This window comes from Homo sapiens, chromosome 11 (assembly GCF_000001405.40).
Source record: "Homo sapiens chromosome 11, GRCh38.p14 Primary Assembly".
Taxonomy (NCBI): domain Eukaryota; kingdom Metazoa; phylum Chordata; class Mammalia; order Primates; family Hominidae; genus Homo; species Homo sapiens.
Genome location: NC_000011.10, coordinates 125,608,984 through 125,626,647, shown reverse-complemented (window position 1 = coordinate 125,626,647; position 17,664 = coordinate 125,608,984). Strand labels below are relative to the sequence as shown.

Sequence of the window (17,664 nt, the reverse complement as noted above, 5' to 3'; positions counted from 1 at the left end):
CTTGCCTTCCCCTTCTATCTCATCCACATTTATCCAAGTCTTTCAACCACGAACAACTATTCTAAACCTGACCATTTTGTCGTGTAAATCACAATCGCCACTCCCAAGCACACCGAAGGTTGAAATTCTGCCCTCCTCAGGCCCCAGAGGAAATTAATTGTTGTTATGAAGAGGTGGGAGACAAATGCTTTCCGGCGAACGACTGGGGAAGGAGGAGGGAGAGGTGGGGGTCTGGGGAAGAGAGGAAGAGGATATAGGGAGCGGTATGGGGCAGAAAACGCCTGCGGCAGCGCCTCCTCCCAATTGCTCAATTCCAATTCCCATCCCCATCCACAGCCCCACCCGTCCCAAAGGCCGGGGCGGGGCCAAACTGCCCCCAGAGGCGAAAGGAAGGGCTGGGACTCTTCCTTGGGGTTCTTAGCTAGCAGCGGGTTAGTCCCTCCTGCCCCCGCCCCCACAACGGGAACCTCCTGGTACCATTCCTCCACCCTCCGAAACCGCCCCTCCGCAGGAGTCTCTCCAATCCCCTGCGCTAGTCAATGCTAACTTTCTCCCACCATGCCCTCCCTCACTAATCTAGACCCCGAACTCCTTCTTTAGAAACCTTCCCTACTCTACCGGCCGCCCTTCCTCACCGGACTGTCCTTTGCCCACCACTGCAGGAATCCAAATGCAGCGCTTTTCCCGCCAAAACTTGAGGGCGTCACGCTGCCGCAAACTCGCGCACCCGCGCCGTAAAGCAAGACAGCGCGCGTTCCCGTGTCCTGCCCCTCTGAATGTCGGCGGCTCCAAAAGGGTGACGTGGAGATGTTGCCGCTCCCGCCCAGGGCTGCTTTGCAGTCGGGGAGAGATCCTGGCTGAAGAGATTTAAGGACGGCGGACCGCATCGGCGCGAATTGAGCTCTGGGCCCAAATATGAAGTGGCATCCGGTGTGAGGCTCGACTGGGCGGTGCTCGAGCGCTGCTGGGGGAAGCCCAGGCCTCCAAGCCTCAGGGGCGCGCGACCGACCGCGCTGCGCTTCCAGGCGGGGCTGCGGGCTTCGCTCCTGGCCGCTCTGGGCCTGAAAGGCTGCACCGCCACCTGCGTGAGGCCACCGGACAGGACTGTGAGGATCACAGTCGGTGAAGCAGAGTGCTTTGTAAACCTCAGAGTGCGGTACTCGTGGTGCTGGAGCCGAGAAACCAGCAGCAGCTGCTGAGAGCCGACTGTGAAGAAATGGGAGGAACTCCGTGTTGGGAGCGAGAGGCTTCGAAAGAACTGGCCACGCAGTCAAGTGTGTGTGGCGGGGCAAGTTTCCCGGAGAAAGCGAGCAGTTTATGTTGGAGCTTGAAGTCAGGATAACCAGTTTTGCCTTTTTTCTGTGAACCAGCTCCAAAACAATGCTTTACTTCAGCCCGGTCTTTTTGCAGGAAGACCATCTGCTTAGCTTAGTTCTACAAACTTTTTCATTTTTAATGTGCAAAGAACAGGCGGGGAGAGCCAAAATAAATCTTACAACGCAAATTTAAAAGCTGCGTACGTCATTTAAGTGGAAAAGTAAATTCTGAGGAAAGAGACTCAAGAACAAAATAGGAAAAATGGAAATAAGTATTCTCTGACAGTAAACTAGACTGGAACTCAGGGATAGGCAGGATCATCTCCATTACATTCTCCAGCACTGGCCGGGCGCAGTGGCTCCTGCCTGTAATTCCAGCACTTTGGGAAGGCGAGGCAGGAGAATGGCTTGAGGCCAGGAGTTCAGGACCAGCCTGGGGAACATAGGGAGACCCCATCTCTACAAATAAAAAAATTTAGGAATTAGTCGGGCTTGGTGGTGTGTCCCTGTAGCCCTAGCTACTTGGGAGGCCTAAGCAGAACAATCGTTTGAGTCCAGGAGTTAGAGGTTAGTGAGCACTACTGCACTCCAGCCTGGGCAACAGCATGATTCCGTAGGAAAAAAACATATTTTTTTATATGTATATATTTTATATATATACATATATATTTTCTTAGTCCTTAAGACTGGGCCACATACAAACACTAAGCATAACTGGCTATTATGATAATAGTAAAGTGAAACAAGTATAAAATGTTACTCAAGGCCGGGGCCTGGTGGCTCACACGTGTAATCCCAACACTTTGGGAAGCTGAGGCGTATGGATCACCTGAGGTCAGCAGTTCAAGACCAGCCTGGCCAACATGGTGAAACCCCCGTCTCTACTAAAAATACAAAAATTAGCCGGGCACGATGGCGAGTGCCTGTAATCCCAGCTACCCAGGAGGCAGAGGCTGCAGTGAGCAGAGATTGTGCCACTGCACTCCAGCCTGGGCAACAGAGCAAGACTCCGTCTCAAAAACAAACAACCAACAACAAAAACACACATTTCTTTTAAAGAAGCAAAGTCAGGAACAAAAATCAAGGAAAAAACTCTTAAAATGCTTATGTGTATAGTTTTGAATCATGACATCACAGATTAGGCTTCATGTAATCTTTTTACAGTTTGTTGTTTTTGGAGACAGGGTGTGTTGCTCTGTCACCCAGGCTGGAGTGCAATTGGGCAGTCTTAGCTCACTGCAGCCTGGAACTCCTGAGCTCAAGTGATCCTCCTACCTCAGCATCCCAAGTCACTGGGATTACAGAAGCGAGCCACAGGGCCTGGTATAAAAATAAAAGCAAGTTTTTATATCATTTATCCCATTTTCTCTTGTTTCCTCACTGTGTGCTGAAAACAAAGAATACGAAGAGGAAGACCTGCAAATTTCCTGTGTGTCTGATGGAGTCTTTTTAGCCTGAAAAAAAAAAAAAAAAAGATATACAGACTCCAGCAGAATACCAGTTAAAGACAGAATACATAGAAATAGCCTCTATTCTCTTCTGAAAGCCCACTAAAATATTTTAATAGTAAAGGATACCAATATTTAAAAGAACCCATAAGAACAGAGTATGAGACACATTTTGGAAAGCAGAAAGCCTTTAGATGAAAGGTAATGAAGATGAATCCCAAAGCTAGCAATGGAAAGCAGAATTAACATCACAGAACTCTGAAAAAGCTCAAGTTGAACTGGTGACACCAGGTAACTGAAGGTGGAGGTAAAAATGGGGCTAAAAGGGGTAGGTTTAAAGGCTACATAAAAAACAAATAGATCCCCGTATCCCTTCCCTTTCTATGTAACCAAGGAACTGTCCCTCCCCAAAGCTGGTACGAGATTTAAGAGGGTAAATGCACAGTATGTGAACTGGAGACCATTAGGCACAGTTAAAAGCTTGGGCACCTTACTGAAAACGGAGGGATTAAGTTTAAGTTTTATCCACTGAAGGTTGAGCCTGTTACAACTTCTTTCCCTACTCTACTCCCAGAAAGCTGACTGCCTGGCTTACATCCTTGAGTAAGAGAATATGCAAGCCTTCTCAAGGGAATCTTACCTATGCAAAAGATAAAAATCTAAAAATCAGTATCATGGATTTCCCAATGTAACAGCCCAGCCAGATCACAGTAGATTGAAACCCACATTATTAATCCCCATCTACACCCCCTACAAACAGACCTTTCAATCAGCTTTTTTGGGTCCCACTCTTTTTTTTTTTTTTTTTTTTTTTTGAGACAGTCTTGCTCTGTCTCCCAGGTTGGAGTGCAGTGGCATGATGTCTGCTCACTGCAACCTCCACCTCCTGGGCAATTCTCATGCCTCAGCCTCCCCAGTAGCTGAGATTACAGGGTGTGTACCCCACACCCAGCTAATTTTTGTATTTTTAGTAGAGACAGAGTTTTCCCACGTTGCCAGGCCGGTCTCAAACTCCTGGCCTCAAGTGATCTGCCTGCCTCGGCCTCCCAAAGTGCTGGGATTACAGGCATGATCCACTGCGCCCTGCCTAGGGTCCCACTCTTAAAGAGGAGCAGACTAGCAAGAATTTGAGAAAGTCTTTAATATGAAAGACATCAAAACTATGCTTAGTGTTCATTAGCCATGTTGCCCAGGCTGGTCTTGAACTCCTGGGCTCAAGTGATCCGCATGCTTCAGCCTCCCAAAGTGCTGGGATTACAGGCATGAGCCACTGCACCTGGCCTAGATTTGAGTTTTTTATGCTAAGTACACAATAACAGTGAAAATGAAGAGTACACTTTTTAAAAAGATAGCTTCATGTAGCCTAGAAAGTAACAAAATTAAGATCCTCAGAGCAACAACTGTAGCGACAAGTTAAAAGTTATCCTATGTATAGTATAAAGGAAGATCATTAATAATTTCTAACTGGTATTAATCATATTGATAAATAATTCAGAATAACCTCTTCCACTAAAGATTCTTTATAGAAATCAAGTAATGTACTTACATATAGTAAATCAAATCTTGAGGCTAAATCTCACCCACAGTTGAAGAACATGGTATATAAATTGGTTTGGAAGGCTAAGTGCCCTGGCTATACAAATATACAACAGCATATCCCTTAGGAGCACCACTATGACTAATCTAAAAGTTATGCAATTCCTCCTGTTCCCTTAAATGGATAACACTAAACAGTTAGCTTTTATTAACGCCTTAGGGTTTATATACATCAGTGATATATTCATAGGCTCTTTGTCCTGATATTAAATGTCCTCAAGGACCACTGTGCTTCCCAGTTAAATTGTTTTTGTTTAGACAAGATTTCACTGTCGCCCAGACTGGAGTACAGTGGCACAATCACAGTTCACTGTAGCCTCAACCTCCCAGGCCCAAGTGATCCTCCAATCTCATCTTCCCGAGTAGCTGGGACTACAGGTGTACACCACCATACCTGGCTAATTTTTATTTTTCATAGAAACAATCTCCTTATGTTGCCCAGGCTTAAAACTTTTTAAGAAGTTTCTCCTCTTTTCTTGCAGGCAGGCTGGCACTGCTCTCTAGGGACCTGTTACTGGCAATGCTTCCCCTTTTAATTTGTATCTTATTTGGAAAGAGCTTCAAAATTAGGTAGTTGAACTTGGTAACAATATACAACAGCAACACATAGGCTAAGACTAAGGGAAAAAGAAGCTCACCTTTGAACAACCACAAGAGTTTTGAGTAAAGGGTCATTCCTGTGTCATGAATAAGTGAGAGTACTGAAAAGCTCCATTTCAAATTGATATGTATGATTATATTTAAGCTGATTCAAAAACACCTACTGACCATCAAGCTCTATATGTAATGCTGGAAGAGTTTCTTCCTCTCCATTGATAAACCAATAATTTCACTGTTTGTCTTGAGTCTTCAAAACTGCTGATTTATAAAGTCAAAGAGCGTCTAAGGATAAAAGACATTGAGAACAGAGACATAGTAGCCCAGAAAGGCACTCTTCTAGCACTCTTCTGGTCCCACATTTATTCATTCAATAAAAATTTATTGAGCCACGCTGTTTCCAAGGAATTGTACTAGGTGCTGCAATGCAAAGGGTTATGACAAAACTGTCTGTAAATGTAGGATCTGAATTGGTCTTTGATAGTTTTCCTGATTTGAGAAAGAAGTCTCTATTTGGCTAATTTAGGGAGCTAAGAGAATGGACAAGGTCTGCTTATGTCCTTCTGGCAGCCTAGCATAGCTTTTGCCTCCCTCAAATCAGTTATAAGTCAAAACAAATAAGGCACATTTTTTAAAAAAATTCCCCCCTTTAATTGACCAAAGTAAAGCCATGACATTTCATTTGGTAACCTGTTTAGAATTATAAAAATCATTTCATTTGGCCCAGCCCATACTGCCCAAGACAAAACTTCCAGACAATTCTGATGCCATCCAGTTTTGTTCTTACAAACTGCATATTAAAAAAAAAAAAAAAAAAAAATCTTCAACGTCCTAAATGTGATGTGCTCAGTGCGAAGCATATCAGAGCTGGACGTGACATTTATGTCCTTGACAAGCCTCGATTATCCAGGTCCTTTACCTGCAACATAAAGATGTCAGTTTAATATTTACAATCAGATCAACTTTGGAGAAATTTTCTACTAAAATGGATTCACCCAGAGTGGGCAGGATTATGTTGGGTTCTGCAGCCTGGTTTAGGGCTGTGAATACACAAGCACTGACTAGAGACTAGATTCTCTCTGCTTAGCCTTTTGGAATACCTCTGTGAGGACCAATATTACTGATCTACCCTCCACATAGATCAAGGGTTCTCAATCTTTTCTTATATGAGAGATATACTCCTATGTGGTTCTATATGACTCTATATACCTTAAGTTCTTCAGAGAGAGAAGAAAATGTAGCTAAATATAAACATGTGAACTTTTTCTCTATTTCCTGCACTCTCCCCACCCGTGAGCCTGATAATCACAGAAACTGGTTTAGTCAAGCCCCAGCTGGAAAAGTATCACTGCAACAACCGCCAAAATGATGGCAGACTGGGATCATCTACTCTCTAAGAACAATCTAAAATAAGTAAAATTTTCAGTGAGTTTGCAAGCTACTTTTCAAGCACAGGTGTCATGAGAAATTTCCCTATTTGAGAAATATATGTCCCATTTTATAAGCATTGAAACCAATCTCCAAAAATAAAAGTTGCTTTCTGAGACGTATAGCATCTGCTTACCTTGTATATCCTGACCAGCCAATGTTCTGTGGTATATGCTTCCTCCAGGACATCAAGCTCAAAGTCTTTATTCCCAATCTCAGCATTTCGGACACGGTCAAAGCCTGGAGGACGCTCTAGAGAGGGATGAAAAAGAACACACTTCTTTCTACAGTGCTAATTTCCTAGAGAGACAGTATATGGATTCAGGAAACCATCTACTAATTGATGATTATTCCTCAGCCTGCAATTTGTTGAGAGTAGAGCCTGCAAAAAAGGGCATGAGGTAGTAAGGGCAAATCAAGTGTTACCCTAGCTTAAGTTCTATGCAAGATGATGCTTGCCAGTCAATGTCTTATCTCTGATAAGACAGACATAGGGAGCCGACTTCCAAGGCCCTCTATTCCTGAGGATTGTCATTTAGAGCCTCTAATACACTAGCAACCCTTGCATGGATCAGAGAAAAAAGCCTACCAGAAGTCAAAGACCTGCATTCATGTCAGAAATTCTCCCTAGTACAGAATCAAGAAATTGAAGTCAGAAGGAGAGACTTAACCTAATCAAATAACTCTCAATGTAGTCATCAGAAGATACGAAAAGTCACTTTCTTTCCCTTTTGTTCCTGTCTTCACTGTAATACCCTTAAGGACAATAAAAAGTAACGGTCAAAAGCACAGAATTTGGAGCCACTCTTTGTCAGTTTGAATCCTGACTCTGCCATTAGTTATGTGACACTAGGCAGTTAAATAACCTATTTGTACCTCAATTTCCTCATATATAAAATAACAGGCTGGGTGCGGTGGCTCATGCCTGTAATCCCAGCACTTTGGGAGGCCGAGGTGGGTGGATTACTTGAGGTCAGGAGTTCGAGACCAGCCTGGCCAACATAGTGAAACAATGTCTCTACTAAAAATACAAAAAAAAAAAAAAATTAGCTGGGGATGGTAGAGCACACCTGTAATTCTAGCTACTCGGGAGGCTGAGGCAGGAGAATCGCTTGAACCGGGGAGGTGGAGGTTGCAGTGAGCCAAGATCGTGCCACTGCACTCCAGCCTGGGTAACAGAACAAGACTTCATCTCAAAAAACAAAACAAAACAAAACAAAAATAACAATAGCTAGGTGCAGTAGCTCAGGTCTGTAATCCCAGTACTTCAGGAGGCCATGACAAGAAGATTGCTTGAGCTCAGGAGTTCCAGACCAGCCCAGACAACATAGTGAGACCTCATCTCTACAAAAAGTTTTAAAAACAGCCAGGCATTGTGGTGTGCACCTTAGTCCCAGCTACTCAAGAGGCTGAAGCAGGAGGACTCCTTCAGCCCAGGAAATCAAGGCTGCAGTGAGCCATGATTGTACCACTGCACTCCAGCCTGGGTGTCAGAGCAAAAACCCTGTCTCAAAAAAATATGCAAACAACAAAAATAAAGGTAATATGACAATAATATCAGTATATGCCTTTGGGGTTGCTGTGAGGATTAAATGAGTTAACAGACACAAAGCACTTACTAGTGCTTGGCATATGGAAAATACTGTGTATTAGTAATCACTATTATTACTACTGTTATTAATATTATTATGAGTCACTCACTGGCTTCTGTGTAAACCTGTCCAAAGCGATAGTAACACATCTTGTACATGAGGCAGTTGAGCAGCACTGGAGAACCTTCACGGTCCACACGGAACTCCCCAGTTGGAGTATAATAGTCATTCTCCTTGATATGTTTGCCTGTATCTGTGCTCCCTCCAATCCGGACCATCCAAAGAAACTTGTTGATATCTAGGAGAAAAAAAAAAAAAGAACTGCTGCATCACAAAAGTTGCTGGAGTTAAAGCAGGTTAGTATTTCTAAGAAAATTCCTCAACATTTTTTTAATGGGGATTGGTATCATTTAACTCTAATTTGTAAAAATAGTGAGGACAACATACGGGCAAAGCATTTTTCGTCAAAATATACAACTTTTCTGAGAAATTATTATACTCCTGAAATCCTACGCTACTAGTCCAGACTTAAGCCACAACTGAGATTGGTCCTATAGATTAGCTAGGGCTAGGCTATCAAATATAGCAGCAATTAGCTACATATAGCTGCTGAGCAGCTGAAATGTGGCTAGTCCAAATTAAGATGTACTGTAAGTATAAAATACACACTAGGTAAGTATGAAATACACATTAGATTTTGAAAAGTTAGTAAAAAAAACAAACCCCAAAAGGGGGTATACTGGTTACATGTTAAATTAAATAATAATGTTTTGATATGACTATTCAGTTAAAATTATTAAAATTACTTTCACCTGTTTCTTTATACTTAGTTTGATGTGACTAATATAAAGCTTAAAATGATAATGTGGTTCCCATTATTTCTATTAGACAGTGGGCACGACTGATCTAAAGAGTAGTAGCTTTACCAAAAAGGTAGACAAGACATGAGTCTTCTCATTCTTGACCAACAGCTGCAAAATTATAGACCTCCAAAGCAGGTATATGAGAAGTCAACATTTCTGTGTCAAACACACTCCCATGCTTAATAAATATTGACACTATCATCAACTCATGATATCTCTTTTAGGGTTCATCATTTACTGTATTGCTTGCACAGGCTTTAGGGAAATCAGTTGCTACATGTTTCACTGGATGGTTAGTATTAAAAATATTTCTAATGCATAAAAAAAGATAAGATTCCTATTGCACTACTGCAAAGAGTTCGAGGGGATATCACGGTGGTTAAGAACAGACTCTGGATCCAAACTGCCTAAGTTTGAATTCCAGCACTGCCAATTCTAGCTGGGTGACCTTGGGCAAGTTATTTAACCTCTCTGTGCTTCAGTTTTCTCATCTGTCAAATTAGAAAAATAAGAGTATCTACAACAATAGGGCTGTTATTATGAGTAACAACATGTAAAGCATTTAGTAAGTTGTTTGTCACATGGTAAACATCCAATGAATAATATTACTATCTTCGTTCAGTGTCTGCATTCTTATCTTCATATTACAAATGGAGAAACTGAGGCACAGAGACTTGCCTAGATCATAGCGCCAGAAACAGGAACAAAAATAAACCCCCAGAACATCAGCTCGGCTATGATAGAACAATAGTATTGTAGCTGCCTGGCAGGTATGTCTGAAGCAAAAACCTCATAAGCTCTATGAATGGAAGAGTGAAAATAATAGGAATGGCTGGGTGTGATGGCTCACACCTATAATCCTAGCATTTTGGGAGGCTGAGATGGGCGGATCACTTGAGCACAGGAGTTCAAGAACAGCCTGGGCAATGTGGCGAAACCCAATCTCTACAAAAAGTATAAAAATTGGCCGGGCATGGTGGTGTGTGCCTGTAGTCCCAGCTACTCAGGAGGCTGAGGTGGGAAGATCACTTGAGCATGGGAAGCAGAGGCTGCAGTGAGCAGACATCGTGCCACTGAACTCCAGCCTGGGTGACAAAGTGAAACTCTGTCTCAAAAACAATAATGATGATGATGATAGGAACTGCATCAAGGAGAGCCCATTGTTCAAAAGATATGGTTGTCTACAAAAAAAGAAGCTGGGCCAGGCCCAACTTTTTTTATTTTTATTATGCCTCTCAAATGTTACAGAACTCCTATTAGTAAAGCCCAATGAATAATTTGACCTTGAAAAATAAATTCAGTGTAACAAATTAACCAAAACAGTTGGCCTTCCATATCTGTGGGTTTGACATCCATAAATTCAACAAACCTCTAATCAAAAATATTCACAAAACAAAAAAACAGATGACTGCATCTGTAATGAAGATGGATAGACTTTTTTCTTGTCATTGTTACCTAAACAATACAGTATTAACAACCATTTACCTAGTATTAGGGATTAGTATTATCATCTAGAGATGATTTAAAGTATATAAGAGAATGTGTGTATATTATATACAAATACTAAACCATTTTATATAAGGGACCTGAGCATCCACAAATTCTGGTATCCTGGTGAGGGGTGAGGATAGGGGTGGGGGTGTCCTGGAAACAATCCTCCATGGATACAGAGGGACAACTACACTATCTTCTTTTATGATCTTCACATACATGTTTTCATGGATCTAGACAGTAACAGTGTTTTGCATTTTTCTTTTTTCTTTTTTTTTGAGATGGAGTCTCGCTCTGTCACCCAGGCTGGGGTGCAGTGGCGCAATCTCAACTCACTGCAACCTCTGCTGCCTGGGTTCAAGTGATTATCTGGCCTCAGCCTCCCAAGTAGCTGAGATTACAAGTATGTGCCACCACATGTGGCTAATTTTTGTATTTTTTTAGTAGAGACGGGGTTTCATCATGTTGGGCAGGCTGGTCTCAAACTCCTGACCTCAAGAGTCTTCCCAAAGTGCTCAGATTACAGGCATGAGCCATCGCACCCGGCCTCTGCATTGTTTTTTAATGGTTATCGTATTATCTTCTTTAAAAAATAAAAAGTCTAACTTATATATCCCCTCCCACCAGAATATCAAAATTCACAAATGCTCAAGTCCCTTATATAAAATGGTATAGTATTTGTATATAACCTATGCACATCTGTCTATATACTTTAAATCATGTCTAGATTACCTATAATACTTAATACAGTGTAGATGCTATGTAAATAGTTGTTATACTGTATTTTTTATTTGTATGATTTTTATTGTTGTATTATGATTTTTTTTCACAAATATTTTCCATTTGTGGTTGGTTGAACCCACAGATGCAGAACCCACGGATATGGAGGGGAAACTGTATACACAGTATTTAGAAATATGCATGTAAGTACTAGAAGAAATAGCTGCAGGAATCATTGCTTCTGGGGACTGATGTTAAGGGGGCTTAGATTTTTGGGCAGTGAACTATCACTTTTTATTATAAACCTTCAGAACTGTTTAACTTTTTTTTTTGAAACAGTTTCACTCTGCTGCCCAGACTGGAGTCCAATGGCGCAATGTCAGCCCACTGCAACCTCTCCCTCCCGAGTTCAAGCGATTCTCCTGCCTCAGCCTCCTGAGTAGCTAAGACTACAGGCATGTGCCACTACGCCTGGCTAATTTTTGTAGAGACAAGGTTTCACTATGTTGCCCAGGCTGGTCATGAACTCCTGACCTCAAGTGATCCGCCCGCCTTGGCCTCCCAAAGTGCTGGGATTACAGGTGTGAGCCACCACACCCGGCTGTGAACTGCTTAACTTTTTAAAGTGTAAACAGGCATTACATTAACTTTTAAGGCAGATAACTATATTTGGATGTTTCTTCTAAAAATCTTTGTGCCAATAATCATAGGGCACATGGTAACCTCCATTTTACACACACTTTTATTTATATATATTTTATATATATATAAAATGTTCTCTTTTTTTACACGCTGTCAGGCCATATAAAACATTTCTAAGCTGGTCAATGATTATATGGCTTAAAACCACTAAAAAAATGCTAATTCTTAAGTTCATTGTCATGAGCCTTATATTCAGCTTGGTTTTATTACTGGTTGTGGAACTACTTCTATGCCTTAGACAATCATATAGCATGCTGTACCTACACAAGAATTGTTTACATTTATGTCCTCTTGTTACAAAAAGAAAAAAATCAAAATACCCAAACCTCAAGTTGCAAATACTTAGGAACTTCCCATGAAAGAAAAATATCTTAGTAAAATATTAGTAAAAGTACAGAAAACTAGGATATTCATCTAGTTTTCTTAGAATCTATGTCCTGCAGCTAGAAACAGAATCAAGTATATTACCATCAGAGGAATACCCAGTGAGGCCTCCAAAAATGACCAGCACATAGCTGACATCGAGCTCCCTCATGATCTCATAGGCTTTTTCCTCTGTGGACGCCATTGCCTGGAAAAACAAATGTACAATTCTCAGAGCAAAATCCCAAGTCATATGATCCCCTCATGCAGACACATTTCCCATTAGACCTTGTACACCAAACACTCAAAGATCATCCCTTTATCTTACCTGCCCTACTCGAGAAATATGGGTATTATTCCATGTGTTATTGTCCACTAAAATTGTTCGGTTTGCCATAGCTGTAATCTGATAGCCATAATCCCACCAGGACATGACCTTCGCATCCTGAAAGTAGAATGGGAAATGGAAATAACAAGCTTCTCACTGTCTCTAAAAATCAAATGCAACAGAGAAGGCATCTTTGGTCTGACAGAAGTGACACCTGGCTAACTAATCAATTTCTTCACAAAGTAATGCATGTCAAACCAGAAAATAAATCCTGGCACCTGGTCTTCCATTTATATACAATTATAAAATCTCAGCACAAATAACAAACCAACATTCCCAACACTTCATCCCAGGTCACTTTATACTAACATAATGGGGTGGGAGGTGTGGGAGACTGTGCAATGTAGCCACATCAATAGCCTAGTGTCATTAGACAATTTTCTTAAATAACCTTTTAACAGAATTGCAAAAATCACTTACTATAAAGATGGGGTGGAAACTCAAATCACATGATACGATGGACAAGAATTAAGAGACTCTTAAAAGTTTTTATTCCTAACAAATTGTCTCAGAAATGATATTCCTAATAGTTATTGTAAAGGAAATCACTTCAGATTCTCAAAAGATATAAATTAAAATGTTAAAAGCAGTTATCATAAGGTGATCACTTTACACAAGATTTATATCTTTCTTCTTGATTCAATTTTCTGATTTTTCTAAAGTGAACATGTATTATTTATCTATAACTTTTTTCTTCTTTTATAACTGGGATGTTCTACCTCATGTTAAAATCATCATATCAATAAAAGTGTGCATGCAAAGTCTAGATAATTACTAGTAAGAGTAACTACAAAAGATCCCAGAATTGAATGGAGGTTCACCTTTAAGGCTCATTCAAGACTAGAGTTGCAAAGTTCCAGTTTCACCCAGCTTTCCACCCATCTAAAAGCTGTATGATTCACTGTAACATCAAATGTCTTCCCCTTTGCCCCTAACCCACAATTCCCACCCCTCCCAAATCTTCACCTCTGGAGTATTATGACGAAGCCAATAATATGCTTCTCGGAAGTCATCAAATATGATCCTACTGCCATCCCCACCACGGGCAGATAGTACAATGGACGGAGAAGAGTAGGCCTCACTGGTCACCCAGGTTGAATGAAAGGTGTAGGTGATGAGAAAGAAAGCCATGACCAGTATCATCCCACTTGCCACCTAAACAAGGAAAAAGAATTAATTGTGTAGTTAACCAAACTAAATTCACACAACACAGGACAACTTCTTAGACACATTCATATAGATGAGATTGATCAAAATAAGTCAGAGGCTATATGAGTTAATTCTGACCACCTAGGACAGTGCTCTACTTTACTCCTCCCACCCCCCGCTGCCCACATACACACATACACACACACACACAGAGTTTCCCAAGTCTACTCTTAACATTGCTTCTCACTTCATTCTTAATAGGGTAGGTGGAATCCTGTTGCTTCTTGCTCTTCTTGTCTGGACGACTTATGTCCAGATTCTTCATGTATGTGGACAGCACCTGGGAGACTCCAATGCCAGAGAGAATGCACATAACAGGTGCCAACACTAGCATTAGACGCACCTAACAGAGACAGGAAGCATGATCAGTCTAATCAGTGTTCCACAATTTACAGATTTCAGCCTATTAGTAGATCAAGACATCAATTTAGGGGTTTTCATCAAACATGACCTCCACAAAAAGTGAAAGAGAAAATACTTGAAACAGTTGCAGTATTAGTATGTATTTCTTAAACTTTGTTTCAATTATATGCATGTACATATGCATGTGTGTCTTGAATAATGATATAAAGTATATTTCATAACTGTGGTTTGAGACCAAAAAAATATGAGAAACACTATTTTACTACAATATATAAAATCTCTCCTCTCTTTTTTCTTGTCATTGTTCCCTAAACAATACAGTATTAACAACCATTTACCTAGTATTAGTTATTAGTATTACAATCTAGAGATGATTTAAAGTATATAAGAGAATGTGTGTATTCTCAGTGGCTCACGCCTGTAATCCCAGCACTTTGGGAGGCCAAGGCGGGTGGATCACCTGAGGTCGGGAGTTCAAGATCAGCCTGACGAACATGGAAAACCCCATCTCTACTAAAAATACAAAATTAGCTGGGTATGGTGGTGCATGCCAGTAATCCCAGCTATTTGGGAGGCTGAGGCAGGAGAATCGCTTGAACCCAGCAGGCGGCAGTTGTGGTGAGCCGGGACCACGCCACTGCTCTCCAGCCTGGGCAACAAGAGTGAAACTCTGTCTCAAAAAAAAAAAAAAAAAAAAAAAAAAAAAAATTCAAATCCCTCCTCTAACAATCTAGCACTGGGTAATACTCCCAAGCCTTCAAGAAAAAAATATCATCTCCCGTTTTAAGACACCCAGGGTCATATTATCCAACAAAGTGCAAAAATGCTTCTATAATACAAAGTTACGAATCCAAGAAAGTTGGACCCCACAACCAGAATGTATGAGTGTCCCATACGTTCCTGGAAAGGATCAACAACTTACAACTCATTCCCTCAAATGCTCAGAGGGAAGCATGTGCACAATCATCAGTACTTTCTGAATTCTGCCAGACAGATAAAAAAGCACCTCAGAGTTAGAGTGAAAAAGTCTACCAGACTGAGGGCATCCTCACCATTACAGCTGAAAAGTACATGCTGGTCACACCATACATGATGATAAAAATCCGGGCATCAGACAGGTTGCTAAAGCAGTAATAGAGGCCAACTACAAAAGAGGGAAGGAGAAATAAGCAGCTGAGTCCTGTAGGTTGAAACCTACAAGGTAAAGTATCTTCATTATATGACTGGATGATTCCACACATTTAACCCAGCAATTCCACTTCCAGGAATTTATCCTAAAAAAACAATCATAGAAACATGCAAAGATGTTTACTACAGCACACTTTAAAGTAGCAAAAAAATCAGAAACAACCCAAATGTCCAAAAACAAGGAGCTAATTATACTATATTTATAAAATGGAATATATTAAAATATTGCTGCATGAGATTATGTACTACTTGCCTTCTTACACATCTTGACACATCTCTGTACTTTAAAAAACTAATAAATGATACATTTTAAGTATTTCTATAAAATAATACTAAGTAACAGAGAAATTTGATTCTTTATGAAGTGAAAAAAATCAGGGAAAAAACTATGATCTCATTCTTATTTGATAAATATACATCAAAATGTTAACAGTGGCTAGAGATGGGTAGTGAGAACTCCTGAATATGTACCTTTTTTGAGATGGGGGTCTTGCTGTATAACCGAGGCTGGTCTCAAACTCCCGGGCTCAAGTAATCCTTCCACCTCAGCCTTCCAAGTAGCTGGGACTAAAGGTGCACACTACCATGCCCAGCTAATTTTATTTATTTTATATGTGTGTATGTGTGTGTGTGTGGGTATGGGTGTGTGTGGGTATGGGTGTGTGCGCGCATTATTATTATTATTTTTTTTTAAGTAGAGACAGGGGTCTCACTATATTGCCCAGCCTGGTCTTGAACTCCTCGCCTCAAGCAATCCTCCCACCTCATCCTTCCAAAGTGCTGGCATTACTGATGTGAACTACAATTCCAGGCCTGTTGTTGTTTTTTTTAAGACGTGGGTCCCACTGTGTTGCCCAGGTTGATCTCAAATTCCTGACCTTAAGTGATCTTCTCACCTCAGCCTCCTAACTGGCTAGGATTATAGGCATGAGCCATTGTGCCCAGCATCTTTTTCTATTTATTTACATATATTTTTACAATACACAAATTACTTTCACAGTAAGAAAAAAGTAAAAGTTGGCCAGGCACAGTGGCTCACGCCTGTAATCCCAGCACTATGGGAGGCCAAGGTGAGCAGACTGCTTGAGCCCATGAGTTCAAGACCAGCCTGGGCAACATGGCAAAACCCCATCTCTACAAAAAAAATACAAAAATTAGCTGGGCATGGTGGTGTGCACCTGTAGTCCCAGCTACTCAGGAGGGTGAGGTGGAAGGATGGCTTGAGCCCAGGAGGCAGAGGCCGCAGTAAGCTGAGATTGTACCACTGCCCTGAAGCCTAGGCAACAGAGCAAGACTCTATCTCAAAAAAAAAAAAAAAAAAAAAAAGGTAAAAGTTATTTTTTAAGAGAAAAAGACCACTAACACCGGTAAATTCTAAAACACATCTGGATTGGCCAGAAGATAAGAGATTGATGAGGCTTTACAATCAGCAGTACTCATTATGGGACTTCAATACTTCCAAGAGGAAAAACAAGGGTAAAGGGGAAGGAGTACGACAGAAGTACTCAAACAAAACAAAACAAAACCGGAGTAAAAATTACCGTTAAATTTTAACTTATAACACAAATGACAAATGAACAGAAAACTGTGAGGCTGAACTTGCCAATATCTACAACTGTTGAACTTCTGACTTCTGCTCAGCTTCATACATGAGAAAATTTGCTTAGCCGTCCTCTGTATTACACAACATAAACAGGCAAAGAAAAACAAAACACGAATGAGGGTAGCTTGCAAATTTGGAATCAAATTGTGATTCTTATGAACAAGGCCATTTCAGAACACGAGGCCACATACCTGGAAACATGAAGACGAGGAGCTGCAGGTCAAAATAGTATGAGGACCAGGTTGTGGGCTGATGCTCAGACACAGAAGCAATGATGGGGATGTTGTTCTTAGCATAAGAGGGATCCAGCAGCGAGTAGAAACGCCCCGTCCAGGGAGATATTTTTCCTAGCAGCAAAGAGGCAATAAATATTCCACACACACTCTTCAAACAAACATCTGATCCAAATGAATCACAACTTCCCATTTTAATAAGATTCTCAGTGACAGAGAAGGATTAGGTTTTTGCTTAATTGCCACCAATACTTAGAGAGTTTCACTCCTTCCTTTCTTTCAAACCTGAGAGTACTTTTGTCAGCACTGCCAGCAGAATAAAGCCAGGCTGTATATAAACTTGGAGAGAAGAACAGAGGCAGAAATGCTACCTGAAAGGGTTTTAGGCCAAATTTGGTCAAACCAAGGCCAACTGTAGAGATTAAATCAACTATATCCTCAAGTCCTGCTCTGAATTAGTCAATAGATAGACTTGAGCAAAATCAAATTCATCTCTGAGAAAGCAAAGTAGAGAAAAAGAAGGAAAATTTGGCTTTCCAACCAACTAAACAGCTATGATTTAGT

General features: G+C 40.9%; 2 protein-coding genes and 1 long non-coding RNA gene across 23 annotated transcripts in view, besides 1 other annotated feature; 1 reads left to right on the top strand and 2 right to left on the bottom strand.

The window, feature by feature from the left end:
* Positions 1–1,512, bottom strand: part of CHEK1 (checkpoint kinase 1) — a 55,989-nt gene extending 54,477 nt beyond the window's left edge. For 5 of the 14 annotated variants that reach the window (XR_007062447.1, NR_045204.1, NM_001114121.2 and 2 more), the window contains exon 1: positions 636–1,512. Coding sequence is in view for 2 of the 14 variants with exons in the window: in XM_011542560.3 (XP_011540862.1) it covers positions 636–887 (252 nt within the window). In the remaining 12 variants the exon portion in view is untranslated. Of the gene's footprint in view, positions 1–5 lie in introns of all 14 variants that reach the window. The other 9 variants (NM_001330427.2, NM_001114122.3, XM_024448337.2 and 6 more) reach the window with 5 other exon arrangements.
* LOC118567325 (uncharacterized) lies at positions 754–1,511 on the top strand. The gene has a single exon (NR_170378.1). It is a non-coding gene; the product is annotated as an uncharacterized LOC118567325 (long non-coding RNA).
* Positions 810–1,319: an enhancer, noted in NCBI's record as "active region_5700". NCBI's record gives its function as "activates an Ori minimal core promoter by ATAC-STARR-seq in GM12878 lymphoblastoid cells {active_cell/tissue: GM12878}" and the evidence as "EXISTENCE:reporter gene assay evidence [ECO:0000049][PMID:35858748]".
* Positions 3,557–17,664, bottom strand: part of STT3A (STT3 oligosaccharyltransferase complex catalytic subunit A) — a 31,323-nt gene continuing 17,215 nt past the window's right edge. For 7 of the 8 annotated variants that reach the window (XM_047426897.1, XM_047426895.1, XM_047426896.1 and 4 more), the window contains 9 exons: positions 17,059–17,214; positions 15,129–15,220; positions 13,901–14,056; positions 13,471–13,659; positions 12,445–12,561; positions 12,222–12,324; positions 8,087–8,275; positions 6,522–6,637; positions 3,557–5,876 (listed from right to left, as the gene is read on the bottom strand). In XM_047426897.1, the coding sequence (XP_047282853.1) occupies positions 5,838–5,876; positions 6,522–6,637; positions 8,087–8,275; positions 12,222–12,324; positions 12,445–12,561; positions 13,471–13,659; positions 13,901–14,056; positions 15,129–15,220; positions 17,059–17,214 (1,157 nt within the window). In that variant the 3' untranslated portion in view covers positions 3,557–5,837. Of the gene's footprint in view, positions 5,877–6,521; positions 6,638–8,086; positions 8,276–12,221; positions 12,325–12,444; positions 12,562–13,470; positions 13,660–13,900; positions 14,057–15,128; positions 15,221–16,677; positions 16,939–17,058; positions 17,215–17,664 lie in introns of those variants that run through there. The other variant, XM_047426898.1, reaches the window with a different exon arrangement.